General features: G+C 48.2%; 3 long non-coding RNA genes across 3 annotated transcripts in view, besides 5 other annotated features; 2 read left to right on the top strand and 1 right to left on the bottom strand.

Annotated features, from left to right (window-relative positions):
- LOC100506639 (uncharacterized) overlaps window positions 1-12917 on the bottom strand; it is a 26536-nt gene extending 13619 nt beyond the window's left edge. The window contains exons 1-2 of the long non-coding RNA NR_102752.1: window positions 12154-12917; window positions 11723-11970 (exon numbers count right to left, since the gene is read on the bottom strand). This is a non-coding gene — a long non-coding RNA (uncharacterized LOC100506639). The remainder of the gene's footprint in view (window positions 1-11722; window positions 11971-12153) is intronic.
- Window positions 1279-1832: an enhancer, noted in NCBI's record as "H3K4me1 hESC enhancer chr5:43078210-43078763 (GRCh37/hg19 assembly coordinates)". NCBI's record gives its function as "activates a minimal SCP1, AML or CMV promoter by ChIP-STARR-seq in naive H9 embryonic stem cells {active_cell/tissue: H9 hESC(naive)}" and the evidence as "EXISTENCE:reporter gene assay evidence [ECO:0000049][PMID:30033119]".
- Window positions 5126-5625: an enhancer, noted in NCBI's record as "H3K27ac hESC enhancer chr5:43074417-43074916 (GRCh37/hg19 assembly coordinates)". NCBI's record gives its function as "activates a minimal SCP1, AML or CMV promoter by ChIP-STARR-seq in primed H9 embryonic stem cells {active_cell/tissue: H9 hESC(primed)}" and the evidence as "EXISTENCE:reporter gene assay evidence [ECO:0000049][PMID:30033119]".
- Window positions 5626-6127: an enhancer, noted in NCBI's record as "H3K27ac hESC enhancer chr5:43073915-43074416 (GRCh37/hg19 assembly coordinates)". NCBI's record gives its function as "activates a minimal SCP1, AML or CMV promoter by ChIP-STARR-seq in primed H9 embryonic stem cells {active_cell/tissue: H9 hESC(primed)}" and the evidence as "EXISTENCE:reporter gene assay evidence [ECO:0000049][PMID:30033119]".
- Window positions 5759-6053: an enhancer, noted in NCBI's record as "tiled region #15399; HepG2 Activating non-DNase unmatched - State 12:CtcfO". NCBI's record gives its function as "activates a minimal TATA promoter and a strong SV40 promoter by Sharpr-MPRA in HepG2 cells {active_cell/tissue: HepG2}" and the evidence as "EXISTENCE:reporter gene assay evidence [ECO:0000049][PMID:27701403]".
- ANXA2R-OT1 (ANXA2R overlapping transcript 1) overlaps window positions 12501-14753 on the top strand; it is a 52711-nt gene continuing 50458 nt past the window's right edge. The window contains exons 1-2 of the long non-coding RNA NR_104651.1: window positions 12501-12642; window positions 12783-12853. This is a non-coding gene — a long non-coding RNA (ANXA2R overlapping transcript 1). The remainder of the gene's footprint in view (window positions 12643-12782; window positions 12854-14753) is intronic.
- Window positions 12890-13289: an enhancer, noted in NCBI's record as "active region_22532". NCBI's record gives its function as "activates an Ori minimal core promoter by ATAC-STARR-seq in GM12878 lymphoblastoid cells {active_cell/tissue: GM12878}" and the evidence as "EXISTENCE:reporter gene assay evidence [ECO:0000049][PMID:35858748]".
- Window positions 12969-14753, top strand: LOC100132356 (uncharacterized). The gene has a single exon (NR_034127.1). It is a non-coding gene; the product is annotated as an uncharacterized LOC100132356 (long non-coding RNA).

The raw sequence follows: 14753 nt of genomic DNA, 5'->3' as shown, positions 1-14753 counted from the left end.
CAGCCTGGGTGCACTTCAGCCTGGGTGACAGAGCAAGACTCTGTCTCAAAAACAAAACAAACAAACAAAATTTTACATTGGTTTATTAAAATAACATAAGCTATTGTTGGCTATACATTTTTCTTTATGTCACTAATTTCAGGAAAAAGAAGGTAATGAGTGAGACTCACATTGCCCAACTTGTGGTAACATTTTAGGTTATTAGTCTGGAAACAACAGGAAAGAAAAAAAAAACCACCAAAATTTATTTATTTATTTAGAGATGGAATTTCGCTCTTGTTGCCCAGGCTGGAGTGCAATGGTGCGATCTTGGCTCACTGCAACCTCTACCTCCTGGGTTCAAGCGATTCTCCTGCCTCGGCCTCCCGAGTAGCTAGGATTACAGGCGCCCACCACCACACCTGGCTAATTTTTTGTATTTTTAGTAGAGATGGTGTTTCACCATGTTGGCTAGGCCGGTCTCAAACTCCTGACCTCAGGTGATCCACCCACCTCGGCCTCCCAAAGTGCTGGGATTACAGGCATGAGATACCGCGCCCGGCTCCAAATTTATTTTTTGCTTATTTATTTTTTATTTATCTTAACTTTTTTAGAGATGGGTTTTCTCTCCGTTGCCCAGGGTGAAATGCAGTAGCCTGATTATAGCCTGCTGCAGTCTCAAACTCCTGGGCTTATGTGATCCTCCCATCTCAGCCTGCTGAGTAGCTGGGATTACAGGCAAGAGCTGAGTCGCCGCCCCTGTCAAAATGCCTTGAAACAGTTATTCCTGGGTATGGCTGAGAGGGATATGACTGAAGGCTCTTGCTCAAGTCTCTCTGAGCCTGATAAATTTTGCATACTTTACATTCCTCAGGCTGCTTTGAGCCACTTTTCTTTCTTACCCTTAATGTCCATCTGATTGTGGTCAAATCCATTGTTCTAACTCATTTTAGAAGCAGAGTACCTTTGTAGATGATGAAAAAACCCGACCTCTACCTTCTTAAATTCAGTGTGTAGAGCCTGTCACTTTTTTTTTTTTTTTTGAGACAGAGCCTTGCTCTGTCGCCCAGGCTGGAGTGCAGTGGCACAATCTTGGCTCACTGCAAGCTCTGCCTCCGGGGTTCACGCCATTCTCCTGCCTCAGCCTGCCGAGTAGCTGAGACTACAGGCGCCCGCCACCACACCCGGCTAATTTTTTTTTTTTTTTTTTTTGAGACGTAGTCTCGCTGTTGCCCAGGCTGGAGTGCAGTGGGGCGCAATCTCGGCTCACTGCAGGCTCCGCCCCCTGGGGTTCACGCCATTCTCTTGCCTCAGCCTCCCGAGTAGCTGGGACTACAGGGCCCGCCACCTCGTCCGGCTAATTTTCTGTATTTTTAGTAGAGACGGGGTTTCACCGTGTTAGCCAGGATGGTCTCCATCTCCTGACCTCGTGATCCGCCCGCCTCGGCCTCCCAAAGTGCTAGGATTACAGCCGGGAGCCACCGCGACCGGCCCACGCCCGTCTAATTTTTTGTATTTTTTAGTAGAGACGGGGTTTCACTGTGTTAGCCAGGATGGTCTCGATCTCCTGACCTCGTGATCCGGCCACCTCGGCCTCCCGAAAGTGCTGGGATTACAGGCGTGAGCCACGGCGCCCAGCCCCAGCCTGTCACTTAAACTGATAAACGACAGATTAACAGTAGAAAAATTTTATTTTGCATACATAATGAGGCTTCACAAAAGAGAAGTGAAAACCCAAGTAGGAGTTTAGGGCTGGGGGCTTATATACCATTTAACAAGGGGTGATAAATTGTGAAGAGAATAGAATAGTCAAAGGGAAAGGAAGCTTTGCGATTATCGATTATAGGGGGAGGGAGTAAACAGTGAGAAGGTGATTAGGAAATGTCTGGCAAGTACGGTTTGTTATGCAGTTTCAAGTCCTCTCTGGTGATAATACATGTCCTCAAACAAGCATTGTGGGGGAAAGAAAGAGAGATCAGACTGTTACTGTGTCTATGTAGAAAAAGGAAGACATAAGAAACTCCATTTTGATCTGTACTAAGAAAAATTCTTCTGCCTTGAGATGCTGTTAATCTGTAACCCTAGCCCCAACCCTGTGCTCGCAGAAACATGTGCTATATTGACTCAAGATTTAATGGATTTAGGGCTGTGCAGGATGTGCCTTGGTAAAAATGTTTGCAGGCAGTATGCTTGGTAAAAGTCATCACCATTCTCCAATCTCAAGTACCCAGGGACACAATGCACTGTGGAAGGCCACAGGGACCTCTGCCCAAGAAAGCCTGGGTATTGTCTAAGGTTTCCCGCCACTGAGATAGCCTGAGATATGGCCTTGTAGGAAAGGAAAGACCTCCATCCCCCAGCCCGACACCCATAAAGGGTCCGTGCTGAGGAGGATTAGTGAAAGAGGAAGGCCTCTTTGCAGCTGAGACAAGAGGAAGGCATCTGTCTCCTGCTTGTCCCTGGGAATGGAATGTCTCAGTGTAAAACCTGATCATATATTCTATTTACTGAGATAGGAGAAAACTGCCTTATGGCTGGAAGTGAGACCTGCTGGCGGCAATACTGCTCTTTACTGCACTGAGATGTCTGTGTAAAGTCAAACATAAATCTGGCCTATGTGCACATCCAGGCACAGCACCTTTCCTTAAACTTATTTATGACACAGAGTCCTTTGCTCACATGTTTTCCTGCTGACCCTCTGGCCACCATTACCCTATAGTCCTGCCACATCCCCCTCGCCAAGATAGTAGAGATAGTGATCAATAAATACTGAGGGAACTCAGAGACCAATGCTGGTGCAGGTCCTCACTTGCTGAGCACCAGTCCCCTTGGCCCACTTTTCTTCCTCTATACTGTCTCTGTGTCTTATTTCTTTTCTCAGTGTCTCGTCTCCACCTTGCAAGAAATACCCACAGGTGTGGAGAGGCAGGCCCCCTTCAAGTATTAGAGTAGAAGAGTTTCCTTCTCTTCCAGGTAGGGGAGAGGTGGAAGCTTTTATAAATGCAAATTTTTTTACAAAAGCAAAATGTATGCCCTGCTTTTCAGCAGGAAAGGGAGGTCAGAGATCCTCATATGTCTGCTATTTCTAATTTCTTTTTTTCTCTTTTTTTTTTGAGATGGAGTCTCGCTCCCATCACGCAGGCTGGAGTGCAGTGGTACGATCTTGGCTCATTGCAACCTCTACCTCCTGGCTTCAAGCAATTCTCCTTCCTCAGCCTCCTGAGTAGCTGGTATTACAGGCGTGCCACACCACGCCTGGCTAATTTTTGTATTTTTTTTTTTTTTTTTTTTTTAGTAGAGATGGGGTTTCACCATGTTGGCCAGGCTGGTCTCGAACTCTTGACTTCAGGTGATCCACCTGCCTCGGTCTCCCAAAGTGCTAAGATTACAGGCATGAGCCACTGCACCAGGCCTGCTATTTCTAATTTTTTAACTGCTCAAAATAATCCATAGGCTAAAGTGGCATATATTGGGGTGGCACATCCTGATCCCCTTTACATCCCAGACTAACTCTGATAGAGATTCTAGCCCTCCCTGGGCTCATTAGAAAAGAAGCTCTAGGCACATTAGAAACATCTCAGTCATTTAAAATTCTCTAGCCTAGGAAGGTTCAAGTTAAGCCTTCCAAACAATTGGAGTTCACTGCGGCCTACCATCTGCAACTTTTTCATGCCATACACTCATTTCTGATGGGCACATCTAATTCTGTCTTAAAATACAAGACAATACTGAAGACACACAAACCTATACATCCAACTTAGACTCTGATGCTCCATGGTTGGATTCCTTCTTATTCACTGAACAGCTCTTTTGGAAGCCCTCAGACAGCTCTAAATCAAGCCTGCCTCTCTTTAGGGATTCCTTATCTTGGTTAACAATATCTAGAAAAACACTCTGTTTAATACAAGTAAGAAACTTGGACACAGTTTTATCTTTTCTTGCTTCCTTTCTTACTTGCTTTCTTTCTGTCTCCCTTCCCTTCCTCCTTAACTATAACCCTAACTCTAATTATATCCATGTGAATATTTCAGGCTATATTACTTATCACCATCTACATATGCACTCCCCTTTCTGGGATAAGTTGTATCTTTGCTTTCACTTTCCTCAGCAGAAGTTTCTTGGGTATGTCTATCCAGAAAGACACTCTCTGTGTTCCCCACATTTTCTGGGAAAGAAGAGACTCTCACAAGGCCTCTTAGTGGTTCAAATTAGCACCATCATAACATTCATGGATTCGGGATACACTGTGTAACTGGAGCTCTGCTTTCACAAGGCCAGGTTCATACTTGAAAGATTCTCCCCGGGGACCCAAAGCTTGAAGGGATGAGTAACTCCCCCCTTCTCAGGCCCAGTCCCAAGGCACAACGCCACTTGCACCAGCAGCGTGTGTCAGCAAGATAGCAGAAGCAGGAAGAGAGCCAGCCGGAAGACACATTCCCTGGCCAGAAGACACGTACCCCTGAAGATCGAGAAAGAGGCCGTCGCGTACTACATAGCAGTCATGTTAGACTGGGACACTTCCTGTTTACAGAGGACTATAAACCCCCTGTACCGTCCTCACTTGGGGCTGATGCCATTTTAGGCCTCAGCCCACCTGCACTCACGTGCTCATTAAAACAGCATGTTGCTGCTCCACACCACTTCGTGTTGTCTTTTGGCGTGCTCTCAGGGTTTGAACCAACACAAGAACCTTACATCTAGTGCCGAAACCGGGGAGGGGCTCTGGTCCACATCCCCCATGGACCTACCCCTCCACCCTGGAGAACAGGCCACAGCAGCAGGACAAAGGAAGCTCCTCAGCCTCCAGTTGCCTCTCTGTGCATGCACATTGGTCACTGGCCTTGCCTATTGGTAAGTTTCCCTAGGAGCCCAGTTAACAAGGGAAAAGCCACATGGCCTCTCTTGGTGTCTACGGTCCAAAAATCCAATGTCGGTCCAGCAAGGCTCCGGCGTGTGCCAGGTACTCGCTGATCATCCCATCACCTGGTCTTAGGGAGACGCCTCTAATCCATTTGATCCCGTTCCAGGAATGAAAAAGGCAGCGGTGATGATGATTGCTCCTTTTGTCTCCCTCTGGCCGTCCAGGACGGTCTCCTTTTTCCCTGTTCTCCTGAGCCTACCCTCTGTTATGGGAAACTCCCGGTCCTCCCTTCCAAAAAACAGCCCTCTAGGCTGCCCCATAAAAAACCTGCAAACCTTAGGCCTCAGGCAAAATATCCACCCTAAGCGCCTTGTCTTTTTTTGCAATTCAGTCTGGCCACAATACGAATTGGATAATGGGTCCAAATGGCCCGCAAATGGAACATTCGACTTTACAGTTTTAACTGAGTTAAGCAATTATTGACAACGACTAGAGAAATGGGGAGAAATTCCTTATGTCCAGGCCTTTTTGCACTCAGATCACAACCCGACCTCTGCAATTCTTGCTCACCTGTTCAAATCCTTCTCCTCCATTCTTGCCACCCTGATTGTCTTTCTCCTCCCAACCCTACCTCTTTTTCCTCGTTAGATCCAGCAGACTGCTGTCCACCCCTCCCAACCCCTACCTCTTCCTCTCAATCGTCTTCTTTAGCCCAAGCCTCCTCGTTGTCTTCTCAACCGCCATCTTCCCAGCCACCATCTTCCCAGTCAGCAGTATCTGCTTCTTTTCCTACACCGCCCCCTCCTCAGGACAATTCTAGTATTGCCTGTACCCATTCTCCTCCCCTACTGCCTTCTCCTGAGGCTTGTAAACCCATCCCACCACCTTACGCCCCTATCTATCCTCCACTACCTGTTAACTCAATCCCCCTTTCCCCTTCAAACACTCAGCAGGAACCACTTCCAGGTTCTTCCTTCTCTCCCATCCACACTTGTTCAGGTGCCATGTTTGGCCATGCCCCACCCTTACTTTAGTGCCTGTGCTAGAGTGCCCTCTTCAGGAAGTAGCAGGAACTGAAGGTATTGTTAGAGTTCATGTTCCCTTCTCCCTCACTGATTTCTCTCAAATTAACAAAAGACTGGGTTCATTTCCAGAAGACCTGACCTCTTATATTAGGGAGTTTCAGTACCTTACCCAGTCTTATGAACTAATCTGGCATATCCTCTACGTTATCCTCTCTTCCACCCTCACCCCAGAAGACCGGGACCATATCTGGACCCTAGCTCAGGGGCATGCTGATCAATTTATCACCAAGCTCCTGCCCAGCCTACTGGCGCACAGGCAGTCCCCAACCAGGACCCCCACTGGGATTATCAAGACAGGGCCTCTGGACGCTACCATTGAGACCACAATTGTGTCTCCTTGCAGGACTCAAAAAGGGTGCCCATAAAGCGATAAACTATGAAAAACTTTCAGAAATCCCCCAAGATCCTGACGAAAAAACAGCCCTTTTTCTCTCTTGTTTAACTGAAGTCATGAGAAAATATACCAACCTAGACCCAACCAGCCCAGAAGGAACCACTATTTTAAACCTTTAGTTCATGTCCCAATCCACCCCGATATTCGGCGTAAGCTACAGAAGCTTGATGATGGCTCTCAAAACCCACAACGAGACCTTCTTAATTTAGCCTTCAAAGTCTTTAACAATCGTGATGAGGAAAATAAAAGGCAAAAACATGCAGAGTTTCAAATGCTTGACTCCGCCATCCGGGGCCCTGCAGGCCCACAGGGCCGCAGCTCCACACAGAAGCCTCCTAGCAATCCACCTCCACCTGGCGCATGTTTCAAGTATGGCAATGAAGGCCACTGGTCTAGACAATGCCCAAACCCAGGTAAGCCCATCAGGCCATGCCCCCTCTGCAGAGGACCCCACTGGAAGTTGGACTGTGAGCGGCCCCCACAAGGACCACTCCCATCCCTTCCTGAGCTGGCCAAAACCTCCTACTCGGATCTCACTGGCCTTGCCACTGAAGACTGATGGGGCCCTGGAATGGACGCCCCGGCAACTACCATTGCTTCATCTAAGACAAGGGTAACCCTGATGGTGGCAGGTAGGCCAGTATTTTTTCTTATTTAATACCGGGCAACCTACTCTGCTTTACCTAATTTTTCAGGACCCACCCAGTCCTCCCAAGTCTCTGTTGTGGGAATTGACGGGCAAGTCTCCAAACCCCGAGCCACCCCTCCACTCTTCTGCTCCCTGCATACCTTTTCCTTCACTCACTCTTTTTTAGTCCTGCCCTCATGCCCAACTCCACTCCTAGGCAGACATCCTTTCAAAAGTCCACACTATTCTCCACTTCCACGTTCCCCATAGTACCCAACACATCAACCCATCCCCTAGCCCCATGCTTACCAAACTATCCTTAAAAAATCCTGTCTTAAGAATTCTCAGCCTGGCCGGGTGCCATGGCTCATGCCTGTAATCCCAGCACTTTGGGAGGCCGAGGCGGGAGGATCACCTGAGGTCGGGAGTTTGAGACCAGCCCGACCAACATGGAGAAACTCCATCTTTACTAAAAATACAAAATTAGCTGGGCGTGGCGGTGCATGCCTGTAATCCAAGCTACTCGGGAGGCTGAGGCAGGAGAATCGCTTGAACCTGGGAGGCGGAGGTTGTGGTGAGCCAAGATGGTGCCATTGCACTATATAGCCTGGGCAGCAGTACGAGTGAAACTCCGTCTCAAAAAAAAAAAAAAAAAAAAAAAAAAAGAATTCTCAGGGAGGTGGATTTGGGAATGAATTCCTGTCCTTCCACTTGGCCAGCCCTGCAATTATTGAAGTCTTTCTTTGCTGCAAAAAAGCTGCTGTTCTCAGTGCATTGGCCTTTGTGGACAATGGGCAAGATGAAACCATTGGGTGATTACACCCACCCTACCCAAAAAAAGACATTCTCTAAAAACTGTCATATCTTTTATCTATTCTTCTAAAGGACCATTTATCTTCTAAAATATCATTTGTGGCTGGTGCAGTGGCTCATGCCAGTAATGCCAGCACCTTGGGAGGCTGAGGAGGATGGATCACGAGTTCAGGAGATCGAGACCATCCTGGCTAACACAGTGAAACCCTGTCTCTATTGAAAATACAAAAAATTAGCTGGGTGTGGTTGCGGGCACCTGTAGTCCCAGCTACTCGGGAGGCTGAGGCAGGAGAATGGCATGAACCCCGGAGGCAGAGCTTGCAGTGAGCCAAGATCACGCCACTGCATTCCAGCCTGGGCGACAGAGAGAGACTCTGTCTCAAAAAAAAAAATCATTCATATTTCCATAAGTGCCCCTCTGCCCCTCCCCATCTCCTTAATGACATAGGATGTTTCTCAGCAACTTTGCCAGCCAGAGACCTCTGGCTGGCGATGCCCTACCTAGGCCTTGCTGGAGCCCAGGCTAACCACAGGAGATGCCCCATCTACTCGGTTTGCTGGGCTGTGCCTGGCATGTCCTCTGGTGCAGATCCTGTGGCCACCATGACTGTGCACTCAGCCCCTGGCAGGAGGGGTGTGTGAGCTAGTGAGTGTGGGGTTCCACTGGTAGCTCCAAGCACCAGCACAGGAGCAGGCTCTGTGTGGGACTTGTGGCTGGACCAGGCATGTTGCAAGTGACTCCTATGGTGGACTCTGGCATCCAGATGAGGGGAATGTGATGGCACCCAAACAGGGATGCCCGTGACCCCAAAGCCCCAGAGTGGGTGTTACAACATGCTAATAGCTCTTTCAGTCCCGCCCTCTGCAGCCCGAAAGATGTCAGCGTGTTAACAGCTCTGTCAGTCCTGTGGTCTTGCTCTGGCCTACAGCTCCAGGGCTGGTTTGGCCCAACAGCTGCTTCCCGTGTTACAGCCTTCTTTGTACCCGTGTTAGGTGGATCCCGAGTTGTTGTCCTGCATCCAAGAAGAATGAGGTTATGCTGAAAATCAAAAAGTGAGGAGGGCAGAGAGGAGTTTTATTGAGCCACAAAACAGTTCTCAGTGGAGAGGGGATTCGAGGATGGTTTCCCACCAGAAGTTGGGTGGTCTCTCTCCCAATGTGGCAGGGTCTGGGGCTTTTATAGGCTCAGAATGGGGGAGTGCATGCTGATTGGTTTGTGCATATGCAAAAAAGGCTAAAACAAAAGCACCACTCAAAGGTGGGCACAACTGTGTAAAAAAACAATTAGGGAAGGGCAGGTATATGTAAAATAGGTGAAGTGTGGGGATCAATCAGAGGAAAGTGCACTAAGTGAAGTGTGTGGATCAATCAGAGGGAAGTGTGCTAAAGGGGAAGAGAGATTCTTAATCCGGTCCATGGATTTACTGGAGACTTGTAGCTTGGCTTTCATGCTTTAAACTGTCTTTGGTTTGAAGGTGGGGTTTCACCAGGGACCCACCCTTGTCTCCCTAGGATTTGTCTGCCTCCTGCCACTATCATTAAGATGGTATCTAAAGTCTCAAATTTCACCACACTTTTGGATATTCAGTTCTTTCTATGATGCCTCCATGCACATTAGATTAAACATTAAAAAACTTGGCTGGGCGCGGTGGCTAATGCCTGTAATCCCAGCACTTTGGGAGGTGAAACCCTGTCTCTGCTAAAAAATAAAAAAAATTAGCTGGACATGGTGGCGGGCGCCTGTAGTCTGAGCTACTTGGGAGGCTGAGGCAGGAGAATGGTGTGAACCCGGGAGGTGGGAGCTTGCAGTGAGCCACTGCACTCCAGCCTGGGAGACAGAGTGACACTCTGTCTCAAAACAAAAAAATAAAAAAATAAAAAATAAAAAACTTATATTCCTTTTCTCGTGTTAATCTGCCTGTTGTCAGATGAATTCACAGCACTCTCTGCCCAGCCACTGAATCTAAGAAGGTGGAGAAAAAGTATCTCCTCATCTATGCTGGAAAGCATGAATGTGGATTCTTGCTTTTCTAATCTATGACTTGCATAGCTTCTGTGCAACATCCTGACTTCCCAGACAATTCACCTGTGCATACCACTTCTGTGTAAAGACTATCCTTGTTTTTTTTTTTTTTTTTTGAGACAGGGTCTTGCTCTATCGCTCAGGCTGGAGTGCAATGGCGCGATCTTGGCTCACTGCAAACAAGCTCTGCCTCCTGGGTTCACGCCATTCTCCTGCCTCAGACTCCCGAGTAGCTGGGACTATAGGCACCCGCCACCACGCCTGGCTAATTTTTTGTATTTTTAGTAGAGACGGGGTTTCACCGTGTTAGCCAGGATTTGTATTTTTAGTAGAGATGGGGTTTCACCGTGTTAGCCAGGATGGTCTCAATCTCCTGACCTCATGATCCGCCCACCTTGGCCTCCCAAAGTGCTGGGATTACAGGTGTAAGCCACTGCGCCTGACCAGTCTTTTTTTTTTTTTGAATGTTTAAAAATGTTTCCATTTTGTGCCACCTTCCTTTAGTCAACAATAACCCAAGTTTTGTTATTATTAGTTTATTGGTTTAGCCAGATTTATCTTGATGAAATTTTACAAAAATATACTTTGCGGCTGGGCACTGTGACTCATGCCTGTAATTCCAGCACTTTGAGAGGCCGAAGCAGGTGGATCACTTGAGGTCAGGACTTTGAGACCAGCCTGGCCAACAGGGTGAAACCCTGTCTTTACTAAAAATACAAAAATTAGCCAGGTGTGATGGTATGCACCTGTAATCCTGGCTGCTTGGGAGCTGAGGCAGGAGAATAACTTGAACCTGGGAGGTGGATGTTGCAGTGAGCCGAGATCGTACCACTACACTCCAGCCTGGGGAACAGAGCGAGACTCCGTCTCAAAAAAAATGCTTTTCTTTATTCTTTGTTTCTTCTTCTATATGACAAACAATGAAAGAAAGTATTAAAGGCTGGGCATCATTTGTGGTTTGTGTCCCACAGTTTGCATTCCAGATTTGATCTGGTGCCTAGAACCTGCATACACTTAGCATTGCCACCCAGCACCCAACTCTACCACATCTGTATTAGTCTGTTCCCACACTGCTATGAAGAAATATCCAAGACTGGGTAATTTATAAAGAAAGAAGTTTTAATTGACTCAAAGCTCTGCATGGCTGGGGAGGCCTCAGGAAACTTACAATCGTGATGGAAGGCACCTCTTCAGAGGGCCGCAGGAGAATGTGTGCCAGCAGGGGAAAATGCCAGGCAATTATAAAACTATCAGATCTCGTGAGACCCACTCACTAACACGAGAACAGCATGGGGAAAACCAACCCCATGATTCAATTATCTCCACCTGGTCTCACCCTTGACACATGGGGATTATTACAATTCAAGGTGAGATTTGGGTGGGGACACGGAGCCAAACCATATCAGCATCTCTCCTGATTTTCCAAATGCAAATGTCTTATAGTCTCTTGCTGAGGAATATACAGTTGCCGACTTGCCCTTTCTCTGACCACCCCACACAAACACCATATTGGAATCAGACAGAATCTGAATGCCGGAACTAGAATGCCTCCTCCTTTAGGGAAGTAAGCTCCATAACTCCTGTCCACATTCCTAACCTGGAAGAGTGACCCCTTCCCTCCAGAGGTGCTGATCCCACCATTTTTGCTAAAATAGGAAGCTAGGGTGGAAACGGAGAGAGGAATGGTGGGTGAGATATTTTGTTTTTTCAAAGGCTCTGCACAGTATCTTCAATTAGATAAAGTGGCTGTAACTTTTCTTCTATTGACACTGCCCTCTTTCCTTTATTCTACTGCCTGCAAAAGAAGGCAACTGAAGAAGCCTCAAGTACCAGGGCAGGTTTTGGCTAGCTGAAGAAAGGGTAAGGTATAGGGGGGAAGACTGGAGGTGACCATCTTGGGAGTGGGTGAGAAGTGAGAGCCCAAAATGGGTCTTCTTACCTCTCTGGTACATTCTGTGCTCTTCTCTGGTCTGACATCCGCCCAGGTTCATCCAGAAAAAGATGGAAATGATTTGAACAGGATAAGCTAGGGTGAGGATTAGACACGATGAGTTCAGCTGGAGACACTCATGGTAGAGTCTGGAGGTCTCTTTGGGGGATCACTTCCAAAAGTGCAGATTTTTAGAAAAACGAGAAAGGTTCTGGAAAGGGATGTTTTCCTTCTGCTCAATGGCAGTTTCAGGTTTCCTGTAAGAAAGGAGTTTGTAGCGTCAGTATATTTGACAAATGTGGGAGAGGGAAGATTCAAGAGCTTGAAATTGCATTGCACTTCCCAAAGATGGAGAAGACATCAGGGATGAATTTCAAAGGTGATAGAAATCGGGAACTGCCCTTTGAGGATTTCAAGGGGAGAGGGAGCAAAGGCCTCACCATCAATCCACACGTCCTGTGCTAGAGTCTTGCGATTCTTATTTCCCCTACCCTCCTGCAACGATTATTCCCATATATCAAGGCCATCTGACAGAGTTAACCATCAGAATTAAATAGCAGTTCCCACAGAGTTCCATCCCCTGGAGAGGTACCTAGCTGCCGGGGCAGGCCTGAAGCCTCGGTCAGGAGGCATTGAGTCTTTCACTCTCCACGGAGGTCTTGGACTGAGAACTTCAAGTTCCAAAGGGATGAGGTGTCGGCTTCGCCCTTAGGAGCCTGGAGGGCTCTGACCAAGGAGAAGGGCGGAGCCCAGCCACTGGAAGGTTTGTTTCTTGCAGTGGAAGACGGTTGGCGACCCGGATGGCTTTTGTTACCAGGGCCAGCCCAATCCGCCCGATTCTCGGTCCCTATACTGCCTCCTTTTCCCATGCGCATCGCAAGGGATCGGTTGATGGGGCCCTCAGTATGACTTCGCTAGGAAAAATAAAGGTCTTCTTAGGCGGGAGGGGACTGATTTGAGGACGGAGGGTGGGAGTAGTGCCAGCAGCACTTTGTCGTAGTGGCACTGGGTGGGCAGTTATCAGTTGCAGTCCGCTCGTTTCTCAGTGCCCACGGTTTCTCACTGACAGTGCAGCTCGTTTCTCAGAGCCGGCGGATGTTCATGGGCAGCACCATCGAGCCAGAAGCAGTATTTGTCCTGGTAAGTCATTTCTCAACTGCCGAAGTGTACTAGGTTCCAGTCCCGCTGGTTTCTCGAATCTGCTAGTCCCACACGAGCACCAATAGGTAAACCCAGCCGGCAGTTTCCGGCTAGCACTTTCGCTATTTGAAGACATTAGGAAGTTATGTGGTGGCTCCGTACCCTCCTTTCTCCATCCGAGGCCGGGGTCCTAAAGTCGGTGTCACGGTGGCAGCACCCAGCGTTTTGTTGGCTCTTTCGCCAGCAGCGCCGAGCGGGGGGTTTTCTGTCACAGCACTTGTTGCACCGAATTTCTCGGTCGCAGAACCTCTCTTTTCCGAGGGTCGACATTTTCTGCGTGACAACACCGTTGGTTCCGCCAAAATGGATGTTGTCCTTGGGAACTCCTCCGGCTGGCGTCACTCTTAGGGTCCCAGCACCGCCATTTCGCCAAGCCGAGTTCTCTTGGTCGCGGCACATCTTGTTCCTCGGTGCCTCCATTTTCTCGGTGGCGGCAGCGCTCTGGTAGCCGATCTGAGGGATTTGGAATCGCAGCCAGTTGCGCAGAGTCTGGGGTTCCCGGGCGACGCCGGCGCTGGGCGGGGGAGCCCGCCGCTCCTCCGAGCCAGAGGCAGAGGAGCTGCGCGGACGCCGTCTCTTCACAGCGCCGCGAGCGCCGACGCACGGGTTCCTGCTCGGCCTCCTGAACCCAGTCCCCCGGCGGCGCCGCTGGCGTCTCTATCGCAGGCCCCTGCGGTTTCGCCCGTCGTTGGCTTCTTGGTCCTAGCAAGTTTCGATTTCGCGGTGCCCGCTATTTCTACCTCTTGTCCAAATAACTAGCCAAAATGTGATTTCTCAGCCTAAGCAAGTCCCGATTTAGGGCATCGGTCTAGCCCTGGCTGCGATTTCTTGGTCCTAGGAAGTCACTGTTTAGCTGTAGCAAGGCAGACTTAACCGTGCGATGGTGACTTTTCTTTTTCTTTGGTTCTTTTTCTTTTCTCTTTCTTTCTTGATACGGGGTCCGGCTCTGTCGCCCAGGCTGGAGTGCAGTGCCGCGATCTCGGCTCACTGCAACCTCCGCCTCCCGGGCTGAAGCGATCCTCCCACCCCAGCCTCCGGGGTAGCTGGGACCACAGGCACGCGCCACCACGCCCGGGTAATTTTTTGTATCCTTCCTAGAGACAGGATTTCGCCATGTTGCCTGGGCTGGTCTCAAACTCCTGATTTCTTAGTCTGACCAAGTCAGAGTTTAGTTATTTCTTACCGTAGCAAGTTGAGAGTTATTCCAGTTTGCGATTTCTGGTTGTAACAATTCTGGCTTTAACCATGCCTACATAATTTTAGTAGTAGCAAATTCCTGTTCCGTAATAGGAGCCCCCATTATAGCCATGCGTGCGGTTTATAACTCCTGTATTAATCTAGGTACTGAAGAATGCAATTTAAAAAAATTTAGCAGTGTCTGGAATTTTTAAATCATACCAAGTTAGAATTCGCAATAGTCTCGCCCTGGCTATGCTGGCGATTTTTCACTCATGTAGAAGTTGGGGTACGTCGGCTACAGATAATTGTTGGTGTCGCAAATACCGGTTTAACCATGGCTGTTTCTTCTTAATCCGAGGAAACTTCGGATAGGCGCAAGAGGCACGGGTTTAGTGCTGACAAATATAATGGTAGGATCTCACCATTCGACCCTGTTTGCAATTTCTTTCTGTTTGTAGGATGCTTTGTATGTTTTGTATACTCAAAAAAAAAAATTTTTTTTTGGTGTATCTTGTTCTGGCAGCGAGGTTATCAGTGTATTTTGTTTTAATTTCTATTTGCTTTTAAATTTTTAATTATTTTTTAATTTAAATGTTACGGTATTTTTTTCTTACCCACTGTCTTCCCCGGTAGAATAAATGTGGCGTATTTCTTCTACTGA

The sequence above is a fragment of the Homo sapiens genome, chromosome 5, assembly GCF_000001405.40.
Source record: "Homo sapiens chromosome 5, GRCh38.p14 Primary Assembly".
Classification (NCBI taxonomy): Eukaryota; Metazoa; Chordata; class Mammalia; order Primates; family Hominidae; genus Homo; species Homo sapiens.
This window is presented reverse-complemented; position numbering and strand designations above follow the sequence as displayed.